Below are 26,052 nucleotides of genomic sequence, written 5' to 3' on the forward strand. Positions count from 1 at the left end.
CCTCTTTTTCTTCATTAGACTGTTAGAACCTGTAAGGTCACAACTAAGACTTTTTCATCTTGCTGTTCCTCGTACTTAGGAGAGTGTGTGATACATGATGGGTACTGAGAAAAAGGTCTGCTGAATGGACATAAGAATGTCTGTGTCGATCAATGAGTTAGCATAAGATTGGGGCTTCATTGAGAAATGGTTACACTTTGCACCAAATAGGAAAAGAATTGAGCACAATCTACATCTCACATTGTTTTCTTAATAATTTTTATATTTAATATTCAAGTTCTCTGTTTTTATCCTATATCAGTTCAACCCATAAGGAAGCGTAAGTTTTATAGGAGAACAAAGAATCCAGTTTTCCGAATTATCTTCTGGCCAGACACAAATGAAGCACACAATACTAGTGCTGTTAGTGTTAAGCTGTGTCATCAATGCTGGAGGAAAACCTGAGAAGGTGGAGGTGTCTCTGGAAGCTTTAGTGATAATTAAGTTCCCTGTTCTCAGGTTTCTTGTCACCTTCCTTTTAGCTACCAGCACAGTGTGTTTTCAGTCCTGACTACTGACGAACTAACTGAGCAGCTGGTTTTGTTCCTGTCTCTTCCCCGCTGGGCCCCACTACCCTTTCAGTCGCTCCCTTGAATTTCCGGTCACTCTGCAACTTCCCCAGGGGCACTGGGTTGAACAGTGCTGGTATCTCTAAGCATATCCCATGATCTCCAAGGCAACATTTGCCTTCAAGATTGTGTGGCTTCTGGTTTCTGAAAGATATGGATGCTGGATGAGATATGGGAGAACAAAGACTAGAAAATGTGCTGCTTTTGGGAAACTGAAATGGGAGTAATTATCACCTTCAACCGACTGGCTTTAGGACAAGAAGCTGAGGCCGGAGGGATAAAGTAAATAAGTGAGGAAGGTGGAAAATGGCAGGCCCAGGGCCAGAAGCCCGGCCACCCAGCTCTGGCCACAAGTGCCCTGCCTCCTCCACCTACATACTTACCGCAGCTGTTCTCCAGTTTTGCAGCACTCAATGTACAAACTCTTGCTTGAAATTGGGAATCAGAAGTTTAATTTCAGTTGGTCACAATCACAATTTTACAAATATTATGGAGCATCTGTCAAATGCATGGATACTGCTATTTTAAAAAATCAATAAATGACATAGCTCCTGCTCTTGCAAACCTCACAATAAGGAAAGCAACTTTAAAGCTACAGTTGTGTTATTTAGCAAAGGAGGAAATGGTCCCACTGAAGGAAACATGATCTCCCAGCTGATTCGCTAACTGTTGGAGGAAGAGCTGAAACTAAACCCTAGGTCTCCTGACTTCCAGAATGATGGGTATTCTACAATATCCTACAGGCTGTGTGTAACCGCAGTGAGAACCACGTGGAAAACAGGAGCCGGGGCTTGTGGTGTTGCATATTGACTATACCTAAAAGAAAAGGGGATGGAAAATATGGCAAACATCAGGGTAGATCCTGGGAAGAGGCAAGTCCTGAGCAAGGATTTATAGGAAGATTGCATTTGGGAAGGAGACACAAACACACACACACACACACACACACACACACACACACACAGAGAGAGAGAGAGAGAGAGAGAGAGAGAGAGAGAGAGAGATGGAAGAAAGAGCAATGAAGTCATAAGAATAAACCAGATAGCTTCAAGGGCTGCTAAGGGGACCCACGTTCCTGGAGTGGAAGTGTTTCAGGAGAGTAAAGAAGTTGCATAGAATGGGTGGGATCAGCTCAAAAGTTCAACACATACAACTGGGCACCCTACGTATGCCAGGCACTGTGTTAGGCACTGGGGATAGACAGATGAATGAGAAACGGTATCCCATTATAGTGGTTTTACCACTTTGGCCACTAGAAGCTTCATTCTAAGAGCCAGGTAGGGTTTGCCAAAATCTACCTACAGAAAAACAAAACCCAAAGGGAACTTTAACTCAGAACTTTATGAAAGATGACAGGAGGGTGTGGTGAAAATGGGTTGACAACATACTTTGTTAAAAGATCAGATAGTTCTTGATCTATACCTGGGGACAACAACGCCTAAAAGATAGACATTGATGCTGATGGCCGGCTACCAGTTCCTGCTAACCTAAGCAGGCAACCACCCTCAGCCAGTGGAATTCAAAGAACATTTTCTGAGCTAACCTGCTCCTGCCTCTGCCCTGGATCCCCTTGGCTCTAATCACATCTGAATGGGGATGTTTCCTCCTTGCTTCAGAAGCCTCATTTCTAAGAGGTAGTTTGCCCTTTTTTTCTTTTCTTGTTCTTTAATGCACTCACTTGCTAGTCAGTCGATTTTGTCTTTCCAGGGTACTCTGCAAACTCTGTGGTGAATGTGTGATACTGAAGTCCAACAGCATCGTCTGTGTCCTCTTCACCAAGCTACATCTTTTTTTCTGGCTGCCAGATACTTTACAAAGAATTATCATTATTCTGTCTGCTGTGTTAGTGGGAGGTTTCTCGGTTTTTTGTTTTTAATTCTTCTTGGAGAAAATGTCACTTCCTGTATAGAGGATGACATTAAAACAAATGCCACAATAGGCTTTTTGCAACATCATTTAGCATCCACCTGTCCTCAAGAAAATGCGGTGGAGATTAGAAAAATCAGTTGAACTCAGTGATTTGTTGGGTATGAATAAAGAGGAGGAAGGGATAGAAATGATGGAACAGCTCAAAACATACGTCCTGCCAGTTTCTCAGGCCAGGTAAATTGTGACTTTCCTCTCCTGTTGCAAGTTCTATTCTCAGAAGCGTGGGACACACACTCCTGCGGAACACTCAGCAAAGAACAAGGCTGACTGGGAGGCTTCTGAAGGTGCCCTCTTCAGGAAGCCAAAGAAGTCATTTGGTTTGATTAATTGATCCTCCACTTTCAAGTTAGAAAACAAAGGATGCACCACAAGTCGTAAGAAGTATACAAGGAAAAAACTCATTTTTAATAATTTTTTCTCATTGCTTTTTATATTATGGAAAATTTTAAACATAAAAAAGTAACAGCTTGGAAAATAAACTCCATGCACTCAAATATAGTTATTTTTATTTTACCCTTTTTATTCTGTTTCACACTTTATTTATCTGTTTATTTATTTTAATAATTTTAACTTTTATTTTTGATTCGGTGGGGGTACACATGCAGGTTTGTTACATGGACATATTGTGTGATACTGAAGTTTGGGACACAAATGATCCTGTCATCTAGTGATCACAGGACCCAATAGTTTTTCAGCCTCTGCTCCCCTCCCTCTCTCCCTGCTTAGCCGTCTCCAGTGTCTATTGTTCTATCTTTATGTCCATGAGCACCCAGTGTTTGGCTCCCACTTATAAGTGAGGCATGCAGTATTTGGTTTTCTGTTCCTTCATGCATTCTTTATAATATAAATAATACATAGAGTAATCCATTAGATGATTTACATATTATATATATTTGAGAAACATGCTCGAAATGTTTTACAAATAGGTGTATTACATCAAAAGTATTTGGAGACAGTTGTGTTAACAATGGTCAATAGGCATGTTTAGGAACAATAACAAGAATGATAAAATGTGTTGATGCTTATCTGTGCCAGGCTCGGTGTAAACGGCTACCCTGTGAGGCAATGTCAGCAAGGCCCAGACTGTACACTTTTCCTGTAACATCCATTACTTGTGTAAAAAAATTGAACTGATGAGCCTCAAATCAGATATTTAATCCTACCTCCAAAAAAAAAAAAAGAATCGTTCTAAAAACAAGTACTAACCTTCTCAATATATTTTTTAAAAATCTAAGTTTATATAACATTCATATGAAATAACTATATAGTACTTTGGGGAAGGCATTATATTTTTTTAAAACCTGTTTTAGTATCTGCAAATGAGGGAGCTAGAGTGTCTATTGTCTTTAATATTCTTCCTAGCCCTAACATTTTACGAGCCATTTCTCTGAAGCTGTAAATTGCTAATGCTAAACAACCTATCCAGTGCATTATGTATTATTATTATATCTGCTTTTTTAGCAGGAGGCTTACACTTGCAGCATGCTGTTATGTAAATCTTTATCACAATCATCAGCATTTATTGAGGACCTCTGTTCTACGGCAAATGTCACCAAACAGTACCAAGAATGAATGTGAAGGAGGCCACATTTTGCAGATTCCGTTCATAACTCTGGCAATCTCAGACCACACACAGACTGCCAGTGCCTGGTCACACCATTGTCCTGCCGTCACCCACTCCCCTTGGAAGGAATTGCCTTGATATGTGGAGGCTGGCACCCTGCTCAGTTGGCTGCAGGGAGCCTTGTAGCACTTAGAGGGATGGGCATGTGGGCTAGATTCCTTTGGATAAAGTGATAGGCACATCACACTCTGGTGTGCAGGCTCTGACATGCCACAGATTAGCAGGCATGCCTCTGGTAAGAGGCATGTGACTGGCCTTTTGGTCCATGCTATGAAACCCTTGAATTCTCCCTGACATTCTGTACAGCCATTTCCACCCAGTTAGGGCCTATTTTTTTTTAATGCTTCAAGTGCAAAAAATGAAAATGCATAACAGTGGCTATGGCTCACTGACTTTTGAATGCGATGTTTCCATTTTTCTATTAGACAAAGCTTAGAGAGAGAAATTGCAGAGACTGAGTACTGTGATCAAATGAACAATTTCAATGTGCTTAACATAGAAGATACTAGAGCATAGGGGTTTTTAAAAATGGGCTTTGGTGTCAAGCAGACATGGACTTGATTCCCATCTCTACCACACTCACTGGCCATTTGACCCAGGGCAAGCTTATTTTTCATAAGATTAGAATAAATACTTATTTTATAGGGTTGATAACAGAATTAAATGATTTAACATATGTATGCTACTTAGGAGAATACCTGGTATCTGGTAAGCACTAAAAAACTAGAATTAGTTACCACCATCATTGATAATCCCTTTATTGAGTTATAAAGCCAAAGAGTCTCCCAAATGTTTCCGTGGCAAATTCATCCTAAATACTGACTGATATAATCAAGAATAGCAAAATGAACGGTAGGGTGCCAGATGCCTATGGCTTGTCCTGTTCACCTCTGAACTCATCTGCAAACAGGGACCACTTTACCAATAGCCAATTAGACCACAGAGGTGATAAACTTGAGGCCCAACTGTCACTCAATTCCCCTCAGTATGACCCAACCAATACTACATATCATCACATGCCTCCTCTCTGCTAAAGATATAATGCAGATTTCCAATAGGATTGTTGCAGAGACCTCCAGACTCAATGGTTCAGATAAATATTCTGAGAGAAGAGGCAGAACAAATTGCCTTTGCAACATTTTCAGTTTAAAGCTATATTTTCATGTGTGACCTAGGGTCTCTCAATTGACTAAGAACTCCTGTCTATAATCTTTTTGCTCTTCCACTCGGTTCAGATCAAAGGAATCTTTAGTTGACACCTAAGAAAAATAGTTACATGCCGTAAATAAATAATTGGTCTGTCAATCTTTATGAAATACTCCTCTACCAAGTTCATCTCTTGATAGCTCATGGGATAAGTGGGGTTTCTCACAATATGACATGATACCTACTTCATCAGAGTATTGAAAATGTTCAGTAGAAAGAGACAGAGGAACCCACTGTTCTTTGATTTGTATTAACCACATAAGTACCTGGAGAAAATTATAGCCAAAGCAGTGGGACTGATATCCTACTGGCCTTTTGCTTGGAATAAGAGAGAAAGATGACTGTGGGAATTAGTCAAGGTACAAATCACATCACATCATCTTCTTGTGCAAACAGATTGCCTGGGGAGTGGTTTCCAAGATTTTTCAGTTTACAGAAAATATAGAAAAATGACAAAACTGAATATATAACACAGAGGCAGAGAGATGAGGTTGCTCATGAGTGAGGTGGCCATCCTGGGAGCTCTGGGCTTCTCAAACTTGAAAATTTTGGCACATTTGTAACCAATAAGAGGTACCTTGGATGAAAAGCTCAGGGCTTTCGGTTAACACTAAATCCATTTACTCTGGATCTATGCATAACCCCAGGAGAAAAAAAACTGAGTCCTTTTTGGGCATATTAAAAAATAAACAAGAAAACCCAAGCAAAGAAAAACAGGTTTTTTCCCTCCATCAGGTGTTTAAAAGATAAGTGAAAAGAAGCGTACTATAATGGTTAAAAGATTTGACTCTGGACTCAGATGTGAATTCACATATCATGTATGACACCAATTAGCTTTGAGACCCTTGTGAAAATTACCTGATCTTGTTAAGCCTCAGTTTCCTCTTCCTTAAAAAGTCATATGCCCCTCAGAGAGATGTTAAAAGAATTAAATAAGATAATGCATGCTAGTACTTAGCACAGCATAAAAGTTGATTGAGTTCTGCTTTTCTTACGTGTGTCATTCTGAAATAATCATTGCATGGGGCTTTTGCTTTACACCAAGATAAGCATAGGTCAAGGAAGATGGAAAGCAAAGAAACAATCCAGTCACTGGTTTTGCTCACCTTAGCCCCAACCAAGAAATGAAAGCACGGCGTTAGTTGTCCTTCATATTCTAACTCTGTTTTCCTGATCCATGCATGAATTTCAGTTCTAGGCATAGACATGTGTGACCAGTTTTAGTTTGTAAAGGTAAATCAGATTTGCATTCAATCTAACCCCAGAGGTCTAGTTCCAGAATTAGAGGCAAAGGGGGCTTTCTGGTTTTGTTGCCCAATGTGCACAGCAAATTAAATCCATGGAAACACCAGGTTGCAGCAGAGAAAAAGGTTTAATTGTAGGCCCTGCTGAATGAGGAGATGGGAGGAAACCTCAAATCCATCTCCTCAGGAGTCTGAAGCTGGAGTTTTAGGGGTTTTGGAGTGGGCCAATGTGTGGAGATTGTTGATTGGTTGAAGAGTGCAGGTTGAAGCCGTGGGACAGGAAGATGAAGAAACTGTATTCTCATGCTGATTCTGTTTCTCTATAGGGGTCTTCAAACTGGTTGGCATCAGCTGTTTCGGCTCTTTCGCTAGAATTTAGAATCTGTGAGACCTCTTAAGCAACTCTTAAATAAAAGCCTTATGCTTCTAATGTCAGAAATCCTATCTACCCTAAACAAAAGCCTTATGACTCTCTTGTCAGAAATCCTATCTATAGGATCAGTGAGGGTACACACGGTCAGCATTTAGAGTTATGTGACTTTCAGTTACAAGGAAGTAGGTCAACGTGCAGCCTGATTATTGTTTAGTTATAACTACATTTCTATCTAGAATTCCTGTTAGCCATGTGAGGGTGGCTTTAGTTTGAGGTTCTCAAACTCTGCCTCAAAAGACTGTTTCAATGGCACACTGTTCTCTCCTGACTTTAAATACTTTATGACACTCAACTTGTTTGAACCAATGCTTGACCAGGCTCCCAAGGGACAACCCTTCTGTCCTGACTTGCTTGAAAGGAGTAGAAGCTCTGCAGTTGTGCAGCTCCTTTGCAATGTCCAATGCATACCCCATGGCAGCCCTCATCCCTCACCTGGGGCTGGGCTGGAACAGGCTCTGATCCAATTTCTGTCTTCTGAGTGAAAAGTGGACAAACAGGTTCCTTGAACCTCCCATTTCCTCCACCCATAAGGTGTTTTACTCTGTTCTTTGAACATTAGAGCTAGTTCTTTGGAATTTACAAACCAAAAATTATCTGAGATAGGTCTCAGTCATTTAGCTTATTTTGCCAAGGTTAAGGACAAGCCTGGAAGAAAAGAACACGGATCATAGAAACGATGTGTCGTCTGTGCCTTTCTCTAAAGATGAATTTGAGGGCTTCAGTATTTAAAGGGGAAAAGCAGGCTGGAGAGGAAAGACAGAGGGTTTGTAATCCACTTGTTGTAAGAGAAAAGGAGCAGGTAGGGGAACAGTCAACTATGTATTCCTCTCACACTCAGTAAATCGGCACCTTACATAAAGTAAGGTGAACATAAGAGTTATCACTTGTGGATATATTTAGCCTTTTATCTGTAGCTATCTGCTTAGGAACAAAAGGAAAGGCAATTTCTTGCATGATTCAGCTTAATTTTTTCCTTTTGGCATAGCTAGTTGGAGTCCCAAGTTTTTACTTTCCTTTCACAAACTGCATTGCAGTTTGCACGTGGTTCTGTAACAGCCACATCAGTACACCTTTGGTAACCTCTGTATATTTGTAGTTTCATTGGATATTGCCCTTATAGAAAGAAAATTCTCCTCAGCAGACATGAGACTGTGTGTATCATGGGACAGGCATGATCTTCTTGCCCCTTGTGAGCCTTCTGGCCACAGAGTTATTAGGAAAGAGATTTAGCTAGCAGGAATATATTGTAGCAGATTCAACACAAGTTGGAAAACAGGTATGCAAGAATTGCCACATTTCGTTACTTCTTTATTTTCTTAATTATTTTATTATTATTACTTTTTTAGAGACTGAGTCTCACTCTGTCACCCAGGTTGGAGTGCAGTCATGCAGTCTTGGCTCACTGCAACCTCTGCCTCCCAAGTTCAAGTGATTCTCTTGCCTCAGCCTCCCGAGTAGCTGAGATTACAGGTGCCCGCCACCACATCTGGCTAATTTTTGTATTTTTGTAGAGACAGGGTTTTGCCATGTTGGCCAGGCTGATCTTGAACTCCTGCCCTCAAGTGATTCACCTGCCTGGGCCTCCCATAAAGTGCTGGGATTACAGGTGTGAGCCACTGCACCCAGCCTGGTTACTTCTTTAAATCAAATTAAATTCTATTCTCCACCTCCCTCCAGACTGGGGCAAAATTCAAAGGCAATCATCATTGAGGCTCCCTTCGCCCCCAACACCCACCTCCCCAAAGAGTCTTATATATTCAGAGAAATCCCTCTGATCTTTACTCCACTCTAGGCACTTTAGAAATGCAAATTCATTAAGCCGTCATGTTTCTTTGAAATCCAGTAGCCTGGAGCCTCTGACTCCACCAACTGGTTGAGCATTGCTAGGTGACCCCATTCCTTTCCCATCCCAGGGCAATGTGCAGGAGCAGACCATGGGTCCCCTCAACACATGAGACCCACAGAGCCCTGTGTCCTCTCTGGAGGCCTCCCCATTTTGCTGCTCTCATTCTGTCTCATTTTTCTCCCTGGCTTAACCACTTCAATATGAACTCAATTTCCAGAAAACAAAAGCCAAGGAAGACAGTTCTTAGGCGGCAACTTCTGTTTCCTGTTGTACAACACATACCTCCCCTAAGGCAAGGAAGCCTGCCCACTTTCTTGGAACAGGCGATAACACACAAGGAAGATAGAGCAAAATATCTCAATGAATTAACTTGCTACAATATATAAGAAATTTAGGCTGTCTCCAGGTTTGAGTTGTTCATTTGGTTGGTGATGGCCACTATATAAGAAGGTAATGAACATTCTAGTACATACATTTGTTTACATATTTATGATGAACTCCTTGGGGCAAATTCCTAGAAATGAGATTGTTGGGTCAGAGGGTATGCACAAGGAGCATTTTAATAAATATTGCTAAACTGAACTTTCAAAACAAGTATAGTAATTTACATTCCCGTTAACAAGGCATGATTGCTCATTTCCCAAGATCTTTATCAAACCAAGTATTGTCAAGCTTTTTAAAACTTTACCAAATTGATAGGCATTTTTAAAATCTTGCTTTTGTCTGCATTTCTTCAGTTGTCAGTGAGGCCAAATACTTTTTCCCATATAGTATTTAGTCATATTAATTACCTATGTATATATTGTTTGTCTGATGGTGTATTCTTGTTATTGATTTGCATGACTTTTGGTATATTAAGGCTATTAGCCTATGATTTGATGCTGGTCCCTAAAGTATAAGAGAGTCCTCTAAAACTCCATAAAATCAGACATCTTCCTCTTTAACTAAAATGGGGCAGTCACTTCAACAAAGCAGTCATACCTGTATTTGGTGAAAATTTTCAGCTATGGAACCTGGACCTGCCAAGCTCAAAGGAGACTCCAGTCATCCAGAAGCCCAGGCCCTACCTGGCTTTCTCACCACCTGCTTTGCTCACCTTCAGAAGGGAAAATGTTCTGTGTTGTACATGGTGCTAAAACCCTCTACACTCACTTAGTAAGTCTAGAGTTTAGGGTGGGGAGTGCTGGTAATAAACAGTGCATATGTGTGACAAGTGTCTCCTCTGTAAATCATTACCTTAAGGCAGCATTCTTAAACTTTTCCAGAACACAGACCCCTTGGGCAGTCTTTTGAAGTCCATGAACCCTTTTCCGAATCAGTTTTTAAATGCAGAAAATAAAATACAAAGGATTACATAAGAAACTAATTACATTAAAAATGCTTATCAAAATATTTTCTGAACATAAATTTGTGACAATATATGGATGAATCCACATATGGATGAATATTATTATAATATGTATTATATAACATAATATGAATATTATTGTCACAAATTTATGGGACAAATTGACAAATTAATGCCAATATTGTGTATATATGGATGACTATATCTTACTAACACATTAAATAATAAGACCTAGCAATGGCTTTAATAGCTATCATAAATTTAGAATTAGTGCTGAGAGTAAATGATAACAACAAACAACCATAAAATAGTATAAAAATATCTACTTTCTATTAGTGGTGAAGTCATAGGTAGCACTAATACTAATGTATTAGGTTGGGGCAAAAGTAATTGAGGTTTTTGCCATTAAAAGTGTTGCCAAAAATCACAATTACTTTTGCACCAACCAAATAGTTTGTTCCCTACATCCATAATTGAAAGAAATGCTAAGTTTTATTTACAATTGTTGGAGGTTAAAGAAAATAAGATATAATTTTTTCCCAACCAAGTTTATGGACATTCTGAATGCTGGGGGGTAGGTTAAGAGCCTTTTTATAAGAGGCAGAACATGTAGTGTTAGTTCAGAGGAGAATTCTGCTTCAATGTTTCCCTTGAGAAGGCCCTAAAACTTGTACTTATAAAGTTTTGTGCTGTACAGATGTTCTACATTTTTAAAGATTCCAATTTTAACTTCATAGTTTCCATTTTTCTCCCATGCTACTGCTTTTTTGGTAGACCGGTGCTTTTGCTCCAAGGGAAGCAAGGGTAAAGATGTGACGGAGCTTCAGGAGCTTCTCTCCAATGAAGTCATTGAGGCCTGCGAGAATGGGGCACGAGGCAGTCTTCCTGGAGAGCTGTCTTCAGCGTTGAGCAGAACATGACAGCTGAGCAAAACTAGAGAAGTTACAGACAAGGCCTGATACTTAATAAAGGCTCTCCCCAACCAACAATTATGTGTGTCTTTTTCCATTGGACAGAGTCACTTACGGGTTCTTGAAGTTTCTCTTTGGAATCTTTCCAAGGGCATTTCTGACTTTATGTACCTCCATTGTCATAAGATACCCTATTCTCAGTCTTATGACTAAGCAGCTAGTTCCCTAACTAGAATTGGTCCAGTTATGACCATCTTGTATATATAAACATTCAAATTTTATTCCGCATTTTAAAGAAAGTGTTGAGAAAAATTATGCTTTAAATGTGGTCATTGTAAATTCATTGGAACAATGGAAATTACCAGGTTTTGTCTTTGACCAATGTTCCCTCTGACCTCTTTTCCTATCCCTGCCTTCACCTTGCTATCTCAGGTGATTTCTGATCTCACCTTAAAATGCCACTTATTCATAGAGCAAATAGGTCCCCTGTTACATTATCATGACTTATCATATTTTTAATTATATAATTTAATGATTAGCCCAATGTTGATCCCTCTTGCTAGATTCTAAGTTCCATGATGATAGTAACCATGTTTGCTTTGCCTGTTTCAATATCCTCAATGCCTAGTTCGGAATCTGTCACACAGTAAGAGTTTCATAAATTTTCATTGATTAAACAATAATTATTGTTGTCTCTAAAAAGAGAAATAGCATCAGATTGAGTTATAAGTTTGGTTTGAAGTGAGAAAACCTAGATCTGAATCTTTCCATAGCACTTTTATTAGCTGTATGACCTTGGGCACATTACTAAATTGGTCAGTGCCTTAGTTTATTTGTCCATAAAATGGGAATAACATTAGCAACAGCATAAACTTTTATGAGGATTAATCATACAATGTGACCAGAAAAACTCAAAATCAGCTGTTATTATCATAATCATCATTGGAGAGAGAGTTATCTGAAGGAAAATAAAGATAAGGCATTGAAAACATTAAAAATCTCACTTCACATCAAGTTCTTTCTTGGATTCTTTAAAGTGAGGACAAAAAAAAACTCAAAAAAAAAGAAAGCCCCAAGGAAGTTATGTTTGGTAAAGATTTCTATAAGCACCAACTCTCTAGTAAGTAAGAAGAACTAGACCCACACCTTTTTCTTTTTAAATACATGAGCTTTTTATTATTTTAGCCAAAAATCCTCCCATTGAAAGAAAGTTGCATGGTCATAAATGATCTTCTAACAATGCCAGCAAATTCTCTGATGTTGCAGCTCCTTTCTGCCAGAGTCATAGCTAGATTGAGTAGGAGAGCTGTCGAGACAATGGCTAGAAGATGCCTTGCATTTGCATGCAAACTGCTGTTTAGCAATGCCAATCATCATTTCCAAATTCATGCCAAATGCCACGATGTGATAAGGAGCATCATCTTTGTTCCCATCATTGCATCTCAACTAGTCATATTTACCAGTTATTAAGCACCTGCCAGTTGAAACCTCATGAAGGATTTATTTCTTGACCTATGAGCTATTTCTGTACTACAAGGTATATCTGATTCTCATACCTGTGCTTGGCTCAACAACATTTCTGTGACAAAAAAAAAAAAAGCCAAAAATATAATTAACTCTTCAACCATTAAAGAAATGAGCAGTTTGTGACCACTGGAATAAGCAACATATATATCATTTGGATAAAAAGATAACTACCTCTTCTCTCACGTATCTTTCCATTACATCAAAATTCTTCAAAAGCTAAAAATAACTATCCTCTTACTGTCTACCTGAGAAGCCACACCTGTTTCTTCCTGCAAATCTACTCAAGATGTTTCCAGAAGACTGACCTGACCCTGGACGGATACCAGAGTGACTCAAACACAGTACTCAGAAGACCTAGTTCTCCCTGATGGCCTTCAGTGCCTCAGGCATTTCTTGTAATAAATGGTTTCCATGCTCAGAAATAGATGAAAGCCAGGTCTTGCACCTTTCTGGAATCAGGAAGAGTTATTATAACAGGCATAGATAAAAATTCAAGACCATAAAAGGAAGAAAAAAAAGATGGGTATGCACTGGAAAAGGCAGTAGAGAAAATAAAATGTAGCGTACCTCAGAATAATAAGAACCTGGTTTTGCTTAAAACCAGAGTGGAAGAAGTTTGAATCATGGTGGAGCAAGAATAGGAGACAAGCCCTCGCTGCTATTGAATTCGCCCTTTCTGTTTGTGTTTGCACATCAGCCAAATTCAAAATGGCAGTGAGCAAGGCTGAGGAGGCCTCCAGAAAGCCAAGACGAAGGCAGCTTCCTGCTGCAGGAAGCCATGCTGTGCTTCCCCATAGGAAGGACTCATTGACCCCTGAAAACCATCATCCTGCAGGGGTGACCCCCACTCTATACAGAGTAGCCGTCCTGGAGTACCTCAGAAAAGAGGTTTTTTAGGCAGCAGCAACTGCACCAAAATATATCAAAATGACAAATGTCACCTTTCTCACCAGTGGCCTACCATTCCTTGAGATACAGAGTTGGAGTCTCTCTTAAGGCAACAATTGCTACGAGAAGTGTAATTCCATACATCTAGTTCTTCGATGGGAAAGAAAGGATAACTGAAAGAAGTTAGGTGCCTGGATTTCTCATGACTTCAGAAATCCAAATATTTGAATGATCATCCAGTATCAGTGATGCCAGCAGACTGTTCACTGTGAAAAAGACAATTTTGCCTTTAATTTTATTTTAGCCACTTAGAAGTTTAATAGCCTTTTTACAAACGGATTTCAACATTTGTTAACTATATGTAGGTGTTAATGCAGCACTGAAGAAGCTGTTGATTTTGAAGCAGTGGGTTTCTAATGAGTTTACTCTTTTTACAATGTGATGCAGAGGTTGTAGCAACAGATATATGATTTCATACAGATTTACTTCCACCATAGTGGATAAGAAGCTCAAATCTAAAACTCAAAAAAAAAAAAAAACTAAATAAAATAAGGAGGAGGAGAAAGAGGTAGGTAAAAGGGAGGAAAGGGGTATATTTGAGGACAAGGTAGTGCAGGCTACCTTTTGCAAGGTAGGTGAAGGGAATGATATTGTTGAGAAGAACAGACATATTTTCCAAGCAAGCCAGCTGGAGGAGGCCTTGGCAGGTTGGTGTGAATTTACTTCTGGCAGCACCAAACCTTAGAACAAGTATTTCTTTGGTTGTCTGTGGGTAAAGAAGCTACAGAATGAGATAGCTTAGTAATTTAAAAAAAAAGAAAGAAAGAAAGAAAGAAAGAAAGTAGCCCCATTCTCCTGAGCCAGGCCCTGCAGATAGGACCCCCAGTCAAGATGGTGACATCTCTGGGCAAGGAGCCAGCTTAATGCCCCCAAACGTCACCAGCACTCACTAAATGTTGAAGAACACAAATACTGGGATCGCTTTAAAAATATCTAGCTGTTTCTCTTCAATTGGGTTGAATTTCCTTTCGCAATATGAACTATGTTCCTGCCAATTTTAAAGTTTACAGCTCCAGCTGTTAGGGAGTTATGTAAGAGCAAAAGTGATCAAAGAGCCTCAAGAGTGGAAAATGCATTTTTTTTCCCTTGGTTGCATAACTCCTCGAATGGAATGGGCAATGCAAAATGCAATAGAAATATCATCTGCCCACTCCTCCTGCCCCTCATTACTACCTTTCCAAGAAAAGAAAAAAAGTTCACCTTGGAGGGAGTAAAGAAGAACATGAGCAATGTTGTTGGACTCAAATTTAGCATGCCCAAGCATTTTTCAAAATAAAGTTGCAAGTAACTGAAATAGGTTTAAGCTGAAACCAAATTCCTCTTAACTCTAGGGCACTTTCCCTAAAAATAAAAAATGAACCTAGTACATTAAAGAATGTAGTTCTTTACGGCCAGCACAATATTCTAATGTCATTATCTTCTGAATGTCTCTCCTCCTATTAGTCTTTTAGTTAACAAGCGTTGAAATCAGTTTGTAAAAAGGGAACTTCTCTTTTTGTCTTTGCCTTCCCAGTTCCTGGCATAAAATAAGATCCAATAAATAATACACGAATAAGGATTATAGAAAATGTGGCTTTAGCCATATGTTTAGACTGACTATCTGCGGAAGCCTAGACATGATGCAATGACAACCTTTGGAAGTAAGAGTGACACTTGATGAAAGCCAAACATGTACTTTCTTACCCATTTTTCCCTTTTTCCTCATGGCTCTGATTGCAAAAAGACTGATAATAAAAGCTAGACAAAGTCAGATTGGTATTTGATCTGTGCCCCACCCACATCTCATGTCAAATTATAATCCCCAGTGTTGGAGGTGGGGCCTGGTGGGAGGTGATTGGATCATGAGGTTGGATCCTTCATGAATGGTTTAGCACCATCCTGTTGGTTCCAGTCTCATGACAGTGAGTGACTGAGAGCTTGACAGATCTGGTTGTATAAAACTGTGTAGCACTTCCCCTCTCTCTCTCTCCTACTCCTGTGCCCATCACGTGAGACGCCTCTGTATTAGTTTGTTCTTGAACTGCGACAAAGAAATACCTGGGACTGGGTAATTTATAAAGAAAAGAGGCTTAATTGGCTCATGGTTACACAGGCTATACAGGAAGCACAGCAGCATCTGCTTGGCTTCTGGGAAGGCCTCAGGAAACACAATCTTGGCAGAAGGTGAAGGGGAAGCAGGCATGTCTTACATAGCTGAAACAGGAGGGAAACAGAGGTGGGGGGAGGTGCTACACTCTTTTTAAACAACCAGATCTCATGAGAACTCACTCACTACACAGTACCAAGGGGAAATGGTGCTAAACCATTCATGGGAACTCCAGCCCTATAATCCAATCACCTCCCACCAGACCCTATCTCTGACACTGAGATTTACAAATGAACATGAGATGTGGGTGTGGACACAGATCCAAACCGTATCAGTCTCCCTCCCACTTTGCTTTCTACCACAGTTGTAAGTTTCCTGAGGCCTCCCCAGAAGCGGAGCAGATGCCAGCATCATGCCTCTTACACAGCCTGCAGAACTGTGAGCTAATTAAACCTCCTTTCTTTATAAATTACCCAGTCTCAGGTATTTCTTCATAGCAATGTGAGAACAGACTCATACACAGATGACAGAAGCGGACAAAGGTAGAAGTCTCTGTAAGCCGTTAGTAACAACTACAGAATATCTCTTGGGTTTCAGATGTCAATGGCCCACCATATTCGTCTCTGAAAATGTCAGCTACCATACCATAATAACCCCTGCCCAGAGCTGAGATAGGTATGGACTGTGATAAGCCTGGGCGCAAAGATCCCACATGCCTCAAGAATGGCCCATTAACCACTTAGCAAGTGATATTCCCAGATTCAGGGTATACTCAGTCACTGGACAGTGTGATTCAGGTTGATAATACCTTCTACCAAAATCTAGGGAGCTCCATCCTCAATAGATAGATTCTACTCCAGTGGGAGGAAAGGGAAGCTAGAGAGAAATTCCAAAGAGCTGACCAAGGGTTTGAGAGGCAGCAGGATGAGAAGACAGGATCATCCTTGCTAACTTTAAAAAGACACTTCTCTCTTTGTGATAAAATTTGCGCTCATTGCATTCTTGGTGTTTCCATTCCATCATCCTTATTTGGGTCTTCCATTTTTCTGGTCTTTTTATCTATTAAAGAGAGTAAAGGAGGATTCATGCACTGGAAAAATGTTGAATTAGAGAATGACTAAGACCTTTCCAGCTCTCAGACACTTTAGTTTACATATATTTTTGTACCCTTCTCATTGGTCTCAATCTGCACTTTTTTCTCGTAGGACTCTTCCCCACTATATAAAATCATCAGGTTACTTTCACTATTTCACAATCCTGTTCAAATGCCAAAATGTCCTCCCTACCTTACCCTAACCTCCTGAAAGTCTATACCTCTTTGCCTATCAGAACACCTCAAACTGTGGTCTAGACCTTCCTCTTCTGCCTTATTTTCTCTATTGTCTAGAAACACTGGTCCTTTCTGAATCATGCCCATCTTTTAACATCTAGGCCTGGTACCTTTTGTCTAATTTCTCCATGCCATAGCAATATCTCAGTCCTCGGAGGTTCCAGGGAATGGTTTAATAAGGAGGCTCATGTGCTCAGTTTTCTCTTCCTTGCTGGAACTATGGGTCAATTCCATACATGTAGGCCACAATGGCTTCTAAATGTCATGGAACTTGAAGGGATCTCCTGTAGTGAGAAGAGCACTGATACAGACTCACAGGTCTAAGTCTCAGGGCCAACTTGGCTATTTAATGACTCTGTGGTATTGCACAAGTGATTTATAATCAGTTGTAGAAAGGGACAGGTACACTATTCAGTAACATGTGCCAGAAACCTGGGATTGCAGATTATTTTAAGCAGATATTAAATATTGTAATTTTATGTTTTAGAACAGAAGTTATTTTGTAACAAAAATTATAGAAAGTAAGGTTTGACCAAGTCTTGGCTAAAGAATGCCTTTAGAAATGGACTTTTTTTTAAAGTATTGAGGCTTAATTAGAGATGAAAGGCTTGTTTCCCTCAGAAATGGAGTAGATTAGAATTTCTAGGGGACATGAGATTTTTGTGGTTATTAAAAGGGTTAAAAGTTTAAGAAAACTGGCAGCTTACCATATCATAAGTATTATTTTATGTAATATGGAAAAAGCAATTAATCATGGGGTTCTTGTGAGAATTAAGTGAGACAAGGCCTGTGAAAGTGTTTGTAAACAGCAAAGTGTTATTTAAATGTAACATATGAGCCCATATAAGAGGTTCTTATTACCCCATGTTTCTAGTTAATACCAGAAAAAGACAGCTTAAACTGAATCCATTTAAAACAGAGACCAGTGTGGACATAGGAACTAGTAGGGGGAAATGAAATGTTTGATTTAAATATGGATATGAATATTAAAACTAAAAATTATGAAGATGATTTATTTACCTTGCACTTTATAAACTTTAGAATATTATTATGGCCATGTGCTAAATCTTAGGACAAATAATTCACATAATTTATCTATTAAAATTGGATCATAGCACAATACAACTAATTTACCTTGCATTTGGGTTTTTTCAGTTTGCTCATAACAAGGAATAATTTTTGCAAAAGCATGAGATGATTCATCAATTTTCTCAAGGAAAATTTGCTTTCTCTTTAGAAGCCCCAACATGTTATCAACTTTATCAATTTTCTTTTCTTCAATAATTGATAAAAGCCTGCCGGATTTTAATTTGTCAATAGCATTATATCTGATTGAATGTCTCCAACATCAATTTCATTATTCTTATGAAATACTAAATATTTTCTAAATTTGTCATTTTGTTTCTTTTTTTGCACTGTTTTTCCAATGTATTTTCTGCTATTTATAATATCAGTAGGTCATCAAAACACTATTAACAAATACACATTGACATTATGAGTGGAGGTAGATATTAGAGTTAAACAAAGAATACTCAGGTGGATCAATTCATTTTATAAATGGTCCATTTATTAGTTTTATATCTTATGGTAACTTGCTTTGCTTTGCAACCTGGCACTGCAAGGCCTTGGATGATGAATTCTTAGGTTAGTAATGAGAATTTTATCTCATATTTTGTATTTCTAATAATGCCTCTACATTGCCTTACTGAGAGAGGTACTTGGTTGACTGGATAAGTAATTGATTGATTGAGAGGGTGAGTGAGTGAGTGAGTGAGTGAATGAAGAAACTGGAGAAAGAAATAAACAACCAACAGCTCTAAGCTCCTACTATAGATTTACGTGTTAGCAAAAAAAGCCACACAGAAGAATAGTTAATCTCAGAGAAATAGGATAAACACAACATCAGAAATGAAAATGAATGGAAACAGACCAATTTGTCCAGGGTTCATGAGGAAAGTGTGTAGGTTCTCACTAGGTCCATCCCTAAGCAGAGATGCAGATGAATAATATCTACAAAAATAACAATAATTGTAATAAAAGCTAACACTAGGCTGTGTCAAGGAGCCACTTTGTACCAGAGGCCTTATATGCATTATGTTCAAGATTCTCGCATCAGGGAGTCTCAAGGGATCTATAAAGTTATAGGATAAATACAATTAATCATCTCAAGACAAAATTTTACTTAAAGATTTGCAAAGAAGAATTTTCATATTCTTTTTATCTTAAACACAAACATATTTTTGAGTAGACTACAAACTAGCCATACATTTATACAATAAAACTTGAGTTTTCTCAGACACTTTACTTTTGCAGAAGGTCTTGAGGCTATCTCTTCAGTGAGCATCCCACTATCCACCCTTTTGATCCTCCAAAGTACACGTTGATGCTCAGCTATTAGGAACACTTAAGTGGAAAATTTTAGAAAGCTCTTTATCATATCCTGCCTTCCTCTCAGCAACTTCATGACACACATCTTTGTGACATGAGCATCATTTTTGTTTTGCATATGAAGAAAATGAGCCCCAGAGAAATTATGAATGAAAGCTTGCAAACTTGTTAGGACAGAATGGAGATTTCCCCTAAACTACATTGTCTGGGAGGCAAGATGATCTTTCCTGTCCCCATCATTTTCTCCTTTTTCCACTTTCCTTCTTTTGGCTGAACCTCCTTTCCAGATGCCCAGTCTCTGTGGTGTCTCATTACCTAGATTCATAGAGGAATACAAGCTGATGGTTTGTCTTTACACGTCAGGATTCTAAAGGGGTTAGGCAATTGAGTAGCTGCTTTCTAACAGAGAACTGCTAGGCTAGAGAAATGCTCATCCAGTTAACTGAATTGTCTTTAGTGGAATCTCCAGCTCCTCATAGATCAATTAGGGCAATACATTAGATGTCCTTTCCTGTACTCCTCAAATGACACTGAATGAACAGCTTCAGACATGCCAGGCCAGTTCTTTCTTAGAGCGCTGGCCAACAAAGACATCCGTGAATTATCGTCACAGCCCACCGTGCCAGCTTTCCCAGAGGGGGTGGCTGGAGAATGGCAGCAGGTAAGAGGTCTGCTGGCAGTGGAGAGGGAAGTTTTTCTGTTGCGTCATTTAATCAACTCATCATGAGGCCCATTTTACTATAAACAGATACTCTTCTAGCCCCCAGAGTGTAAAGGGGTGAATACATGAAAAAAAGAGGAACTATATCCTTAAATAGTTCTAAGGAAGGTCTTTGCCCTGAGGGAGAACTGAGATCCATTTCAGAAACTTGTGGCCATCTGTCATCACAGCATCCTACAAAACTGAAAAAAAAAAAATAGTCTTTCTCTAATATCTCTGCGATAGAGAACATAGAGTCATTACTTTAGGAAGTTGGTCTGTCTGTCATTTGACTCTTCTAAAACACAGGAACTTATGGGTTGAAAACAGCCTTAGAATCTCCAGGATTGGCCCAGAACTCCAACTTGTGGATAAGCCACAACAGGACATAATATTCTTTCCTGTTAAGTTCCTGTATAATTCTAGTTTGAATATGTCCATACTTGTGGTTTCTATTTCTGCCCTAGTTTTGCTTCCTAAACTTCAGAATGTCTGGTTCTCTCATGCTCTCTGTCTCTCTCACCCCCCGACACATACACACCACATTTTATTTCTTTTGTTGGGATTTATTTTTCGATGACAATTAGAGGATTGCGAAAACTAAAGGCCAGAGGCCTTATCTGACAAAGGCCTTCTAAGGAAAATCTGATAATATTTTGTGATCTGAAGGTTTATAAGTATAATTAAGCATGCATGAGACCAAACTAAGGCAATGAGATAAAGAATAAATTACAGTTTGTAACAGGAATTGTGAGGAAAGAGCAAAAGGATAAACAGCAAGCATTGGTGTGGTTCTGACTATATGACAGATACCCTCCCATGTGTTAAATAATCCTGCCAGCAACCTCATTATGTTCTAGGAACTATTATTATCCCTATTTTACAGATGAGAGAGTTGAGGCACAAAGAAGTTAAAAAATTTGCTTAACACACAGCTAATTAATGGTAGAGGAAAATTTGAACCCAGGCATTTAGGCTGCCTAGTTTAAGCTTTTAACCACTATAGAGATCTGCCCTTCTAATAATTGGTGAAACTTTATTTACTTATTCATCCATCATAGCCTTTATTTGCTTATTCATCCATTCTCTATTCTCTTCTTTTCTTCCCTTTCCTTCATTCTTTTCTCTTTTTTTTTCCTTTTTCTTATTCTGTATCCCACTATTTGCCCCAAAATGAAACCAGTCGTTTTTAAATGCATTTGCTGTAGTTAAGATAATATGGCAAGCTGTTCCTCATTCACTCAGCAGATAGAGGACACTTCCACTGGTGAATGCTCAAAGACAGAAACAGGATTTGCTTACTTAAAACACACACACAGCAAATAAACATTCCCTTCTCTTTGTGTGTCTCAGAAGAATTTTTCTTCTGAGGGTTAGTAAAAACCTCCCTACTTCGTTCTTACTCTCTGGGTTGCAACAACACCCTTAAGATTTTGTCTTTATCAGTCCTCCTTAACATTTTAAGAGCTTGAATTCAATCCATAGGTTTGTTTACAGCTGGGCTCAATCCATCAGAAATTCTATAACCCACATGGAACCCGCTGAGCTAGAGCCATTGCTGCTTCCTTATTTTACTACTGAACTGTAGTTGTTTCTGTGACAATTTTCTTATTACTGTGGTATGGTTTTCTGAGATTTTGTTTTTGTGTTTTCCATCCAACAATAAGCAGATCTATCTTTGTCTATTCTAGCCCATTCTGTCCTTTTAAGGAGGTGGTCAGTTCTAAGGTGACGCTAGTTTTCATTCCCTGATAGACTGTCAGCTTGCTGAAGGCTGAAACTTATGACAGCATATTTGCCTGTGGGTGCCTAACAATATCTAGCATGTAACAGGTGCTTGCTTAGTAATTGCTAGTTAAATGAATGAAACAATGAATACATAAATTTTTCCCCTATTTTGGCCATCTCTCTATCTCAGACTTTGAAGACAACATCCCTCCTCCTCCAATTTACCCAGTAATTCTTTCCCAATGTATATTTCATTATTAAACAGAATTCTGAACTGACAGTGGGTAGATTATGTAAGTCACAAACTCCTTTATACTTTAAGATGTCCTCTGACCAATCATTACATCAAAAATCTGTCCCAAAATGTTGCTAACTGCTAAAGCTTGGTAATGGGTATATAACGATTTATTATATTATTTTCCAAACTTTTGCATACATTTGAAAATTTCCATAATAACTTTTTAAATCTGCTTACCTGAAATGTTACAGTTTAATTAGGATAATAGTGATTTTAAAGGAAGTGATAGTATTAAAGCATCTACTCAAATCTTCTGGGTATAATTGCAAAAGAAGCTATTGATATTTGTTTCAGCCATAGTGAAGCACTGATTTAAAAGTAGTTTAGTTAGAAAGCTAGTGAAACCATTTTAATTTAAAACTGGATGGATCGATGGATCCTTTGGAAATAATATTTATTTTTTCTCTTTCTCGTGGAATGTGGCATTTGTCTTACCACACAGTGACCTATCAGTTCTAAGATGCTGACGGAATCTAGGTAATAATGCTAACGTTTCCTGAGGACTTAAATAGAAAATTGTACCAGTGAGAAAATAGACTAGAAACTTAAAGCATATAAGATGACTTCTGTATGCATGTTGTCTATAGATGTAGACAAATATTTATACTGAGAGATATTTCCACTAAAGATAAATAAGAAAATGCTGGCTATAGCCATTAACATTGATGGCTCAGAAATGTAGAAACAGCAGGCTTCTGTTTCAATTAGACTTTGCTATTATACAATTGTGTTAACTGACTAAAGGCATTAGGATATCCTTATCTATGGTAATATATCTATTTCAAACAAACCAGACTATGGCTTTTCATGGTAGTATCCATCTTCAGTATGTTGGAATTTTTAAAAATTTATATAACCTACATAAGAAAATGAAGTAAACTTAGGCTAAAATTCTTTGGTATTTGTAATTTTTAGAAGAACTTGAGATTGAGGCTGAACACACTGGCCTAGGACTGTGACTCAAATACACACTACTTGCTCCCACTACACACGTTTCTGAAGTTCTCTGGTGTCTCAGTTCCCCAGTTTCTTTAACGTGCAGAGATTATTCAAGTTAGAATTGCAATTCATCAATTTAGAAATTCAAAGATTGTTCTTAACTTTTTCATTTGGAGTTTTTTCTCAAATATACAATATCTGAAGAAACTGGTCCAAACTCCTTAAGACAACAACACTTATTTCTACTTGAAATTCAGTTCCTTCTTTTTTGTTAAAAAGGCTTGTCTTTCTTTGATAGCTTTTTTTTTTAACCATTTGAGTTTCTTTGGTATTAAGAATGTTTAAGAAACTTCTGAGATTCTGTATTACCTAGAGTACGTGTATACCTACCTATGAAGACAGTGGCATCAAAGAAGAATCTGTAAATTAAGTTAATTAAGTTATGGTTGGCAATAATTCTGGTGAGACTACTGCTGCACCTAGGATCCAGGTCCCTAATAGAGAATACACATGAGAGGGCCACAGCCATCTTAAAGGACAAAGAACTTCAAGTCTCTCCAGAATAAGAGGTTGGCAGAGTTTGGGACCAGGCATCCAGCAATGTGAATAGCTCATTTTCAGACACTGTACACATCTTATTGGATCTGAATTGATTCAGTATGGTTTTTCCAAAAGAATTCAAAAACTTAATAAATATTAAGCTGACCTTGTTGCATGAGCCAAATCCAATTAATTTTGGTCAGTATAATCCTAACAAACTGGGATGCTGTAAATGGAACATTCTGAATTCTGCTTACCCACTTCAGATAAAAGTATATGCAGTTAAAGCCAATGCTTGACTAGCTGGGCATAGTCAGAATTATTTATTTTAATGTTACCTTCCTATATGTCTTCATGTTAAGCATATGCCCAACTGTCTTTAGTCAACTAGTCTGAGGCTATAACATGCTAAAGTACATCATTCAACTGTTGGTCTTTGAGGGAGTGCAACCTTTGATCACAAATCCCTTTGGCCAGTCACTCTATTTTACCAGATCAAAAATAGAGGTATTTATTTCATTTGGCATGGATTGGAAAATTAAATCAACACATCACCAAACACAAGCTCTCCAGAAGATGTATCTCAGACAAGGATCCTAGAACAGTCCCAGAAATTTTTTTATGGTACATAAAGTTTTTATTATGCATAAACTCTAAATTTATTTTTAATTTTTTCAAGGCTGTCAGTGGAAGGATTGCTGGGCCTATTGCAAATTGCAGATTATAAAAATCTTTCCACAATGAGGCAACATCTTTTTCCAAGGTGACTGTGATCCAGGTTCTCACAGCAATGTTCTTACCACACTGGGTCATGGCCAGGTACCTTGGAGGTTAGACAAATACAGCCAGCTAAGAAAATCCTAAATGATAATTGTGTCCCAATGTCCTTTGCCATCCCCCTCCCAGACACGAAACCATTGGCTTCCTTGCCACTGGGCCAGCACACATCCTCCCCTCCTGCCCCACTTTCTCTCACAATGGCCAGCATTCTGCATTGCTCTTGGCCCAAGGTTTGGCCCATGCTCCCAGGGCCTTGGAATTCATCTAGAAGTGAGGCTCTCATGATTCAAACTTCCTGTGCAGACTTCAAACACACACACAAGCACCAGGACCAGCTCTCATTGAGTGAGAAAACAACATAGAATACACAAACCTGATCTTCATACCTGCCAGCAATATCTCAATAAATCCTCCAGTGTTGTCTTAGGTGGAAGAAACACTTCTGGGATCACTTCTTCTCTACTTGAGGGACGAAGCATCCTCCAAACCCCAAAAATGTGGCCTAGATTCTTTGGAGGCAGTCTCTTTAGTAAGGTCCAGGTAGTTTCTGAAATAAAAGGTCACTTTCTGAAGATATTAGCAGGATTCTCCCTCTTTTTATAAGCACTCAGATTTCATTCTCCCCAAACCCATTTGAAATCTGCAAAAGTTTACATTGTTATAGAGGAAATATAAATGTACAAACAAACAATCATAATATAAGGCTTCTTTGTATTAGAAAATAAACTTGTAAGACTTAATTCCTTCTGGCAATTAAGTACTTACCATTCAACTTTCTGCTAAGGAATAGAAAAGCCTCCTTCAGGAACACTTTTCCACTGTTGGTGGGACTGTAAACTAGTTCAACCATTGTGGAAGACAGTGTGGTGATTCCTCAAGGATCTAGAACTAGAAATACCATTTGACCCAGCCATCCCATTACTGGGCATATACCCAAAGGATTATAAAGCATGCTGCCATACAGACACGTGCACCTGTATGTTTATTGTGGCACTATTCACAATAGCAAAGACTTGGAGCCAATCCAAATGTCCATCAATGATAGACTGGATTAAGAAAATGTGGCACATATACACCATGGAATACTATGCAGCCATAAAAAAGGATGAGTTCATGTCCTTTGTAGGGACATGGATGAAGCTGGAAACCATCATTCTGAGCAAACTATTGCAAGGACAGAAAACCAAACACCGCATGTTCTCACTCATAGGTGGGAATTGAACAATGAACACTTGGACACAGGGTGGGGAACCTCACACACCGGGGCCTGTCGTGTGGTAAGGGGAGGGAGGAGGGATAGCATTAGGAGATATATCTAATGTAAATGATGAGTTAATGGGTGCAGTACACCAGCATGGCACATGTATACATATGTAACAAACCTGCACGTTGTGCACATGTACCCTAGAACTTAAAGTATAATAAAAAAATAAAAATAAAAATAAAATAAAATAAAATAAAGAAAAGCCTCCTTCAGGAAGTGAGAATTTAATTAAGCCCTAAAAGAAGGATGGATTCGGCCATGATAGTCCCAGGAAATGTTTCTCCTTCCCCCTCCCAAATCCTCCAAGGAGAAAGAATAAACTTTGCAGAAATTGCAAGAATCTGTAGCTGAAAGTCAGCCACGCGGAGGAGGAGG

At 38.8% G+C, this 26,052-nt stretch overlaps 1 long non-coding RNA gene across 1 annotated transcript in view; it reads right to left on the reverse strand.

The window, feature by feature from the left end:
* LOC107986420 (uncharacterized) overlaps positions 1 to 24,945 on the reverse strand; it is a 39,066-nt gene extending 14,121 nt beyond the window's left edge. The window contains exon 1 of the long non-coding RNA XR_001742692.1: positions 24,800 to 24,945. This is a non-coding gene — a long non-coding RNA (uncharacterized LOC107986420). The remainder of the gene's footprint in view (positions 1 to 24,799) is intronic.
* Positions 24,946 to 26,052: the final 1,107 nt, after the last annotated feature.

The sequence above is a fragment of the Homo sapiens genome, chromosome 5 (genome assembly GCF_000001405.40).
Source record: "Homo sapiens chromosome 5, GRCh38.p14 Primary Assembly".
NCBI classification, from domain to species: domain Eukaryota; kingdom Metazoa; phylum Chordata; class Mammalia; order Primates; family Hominidae; genus Homo; species Homo sapiens.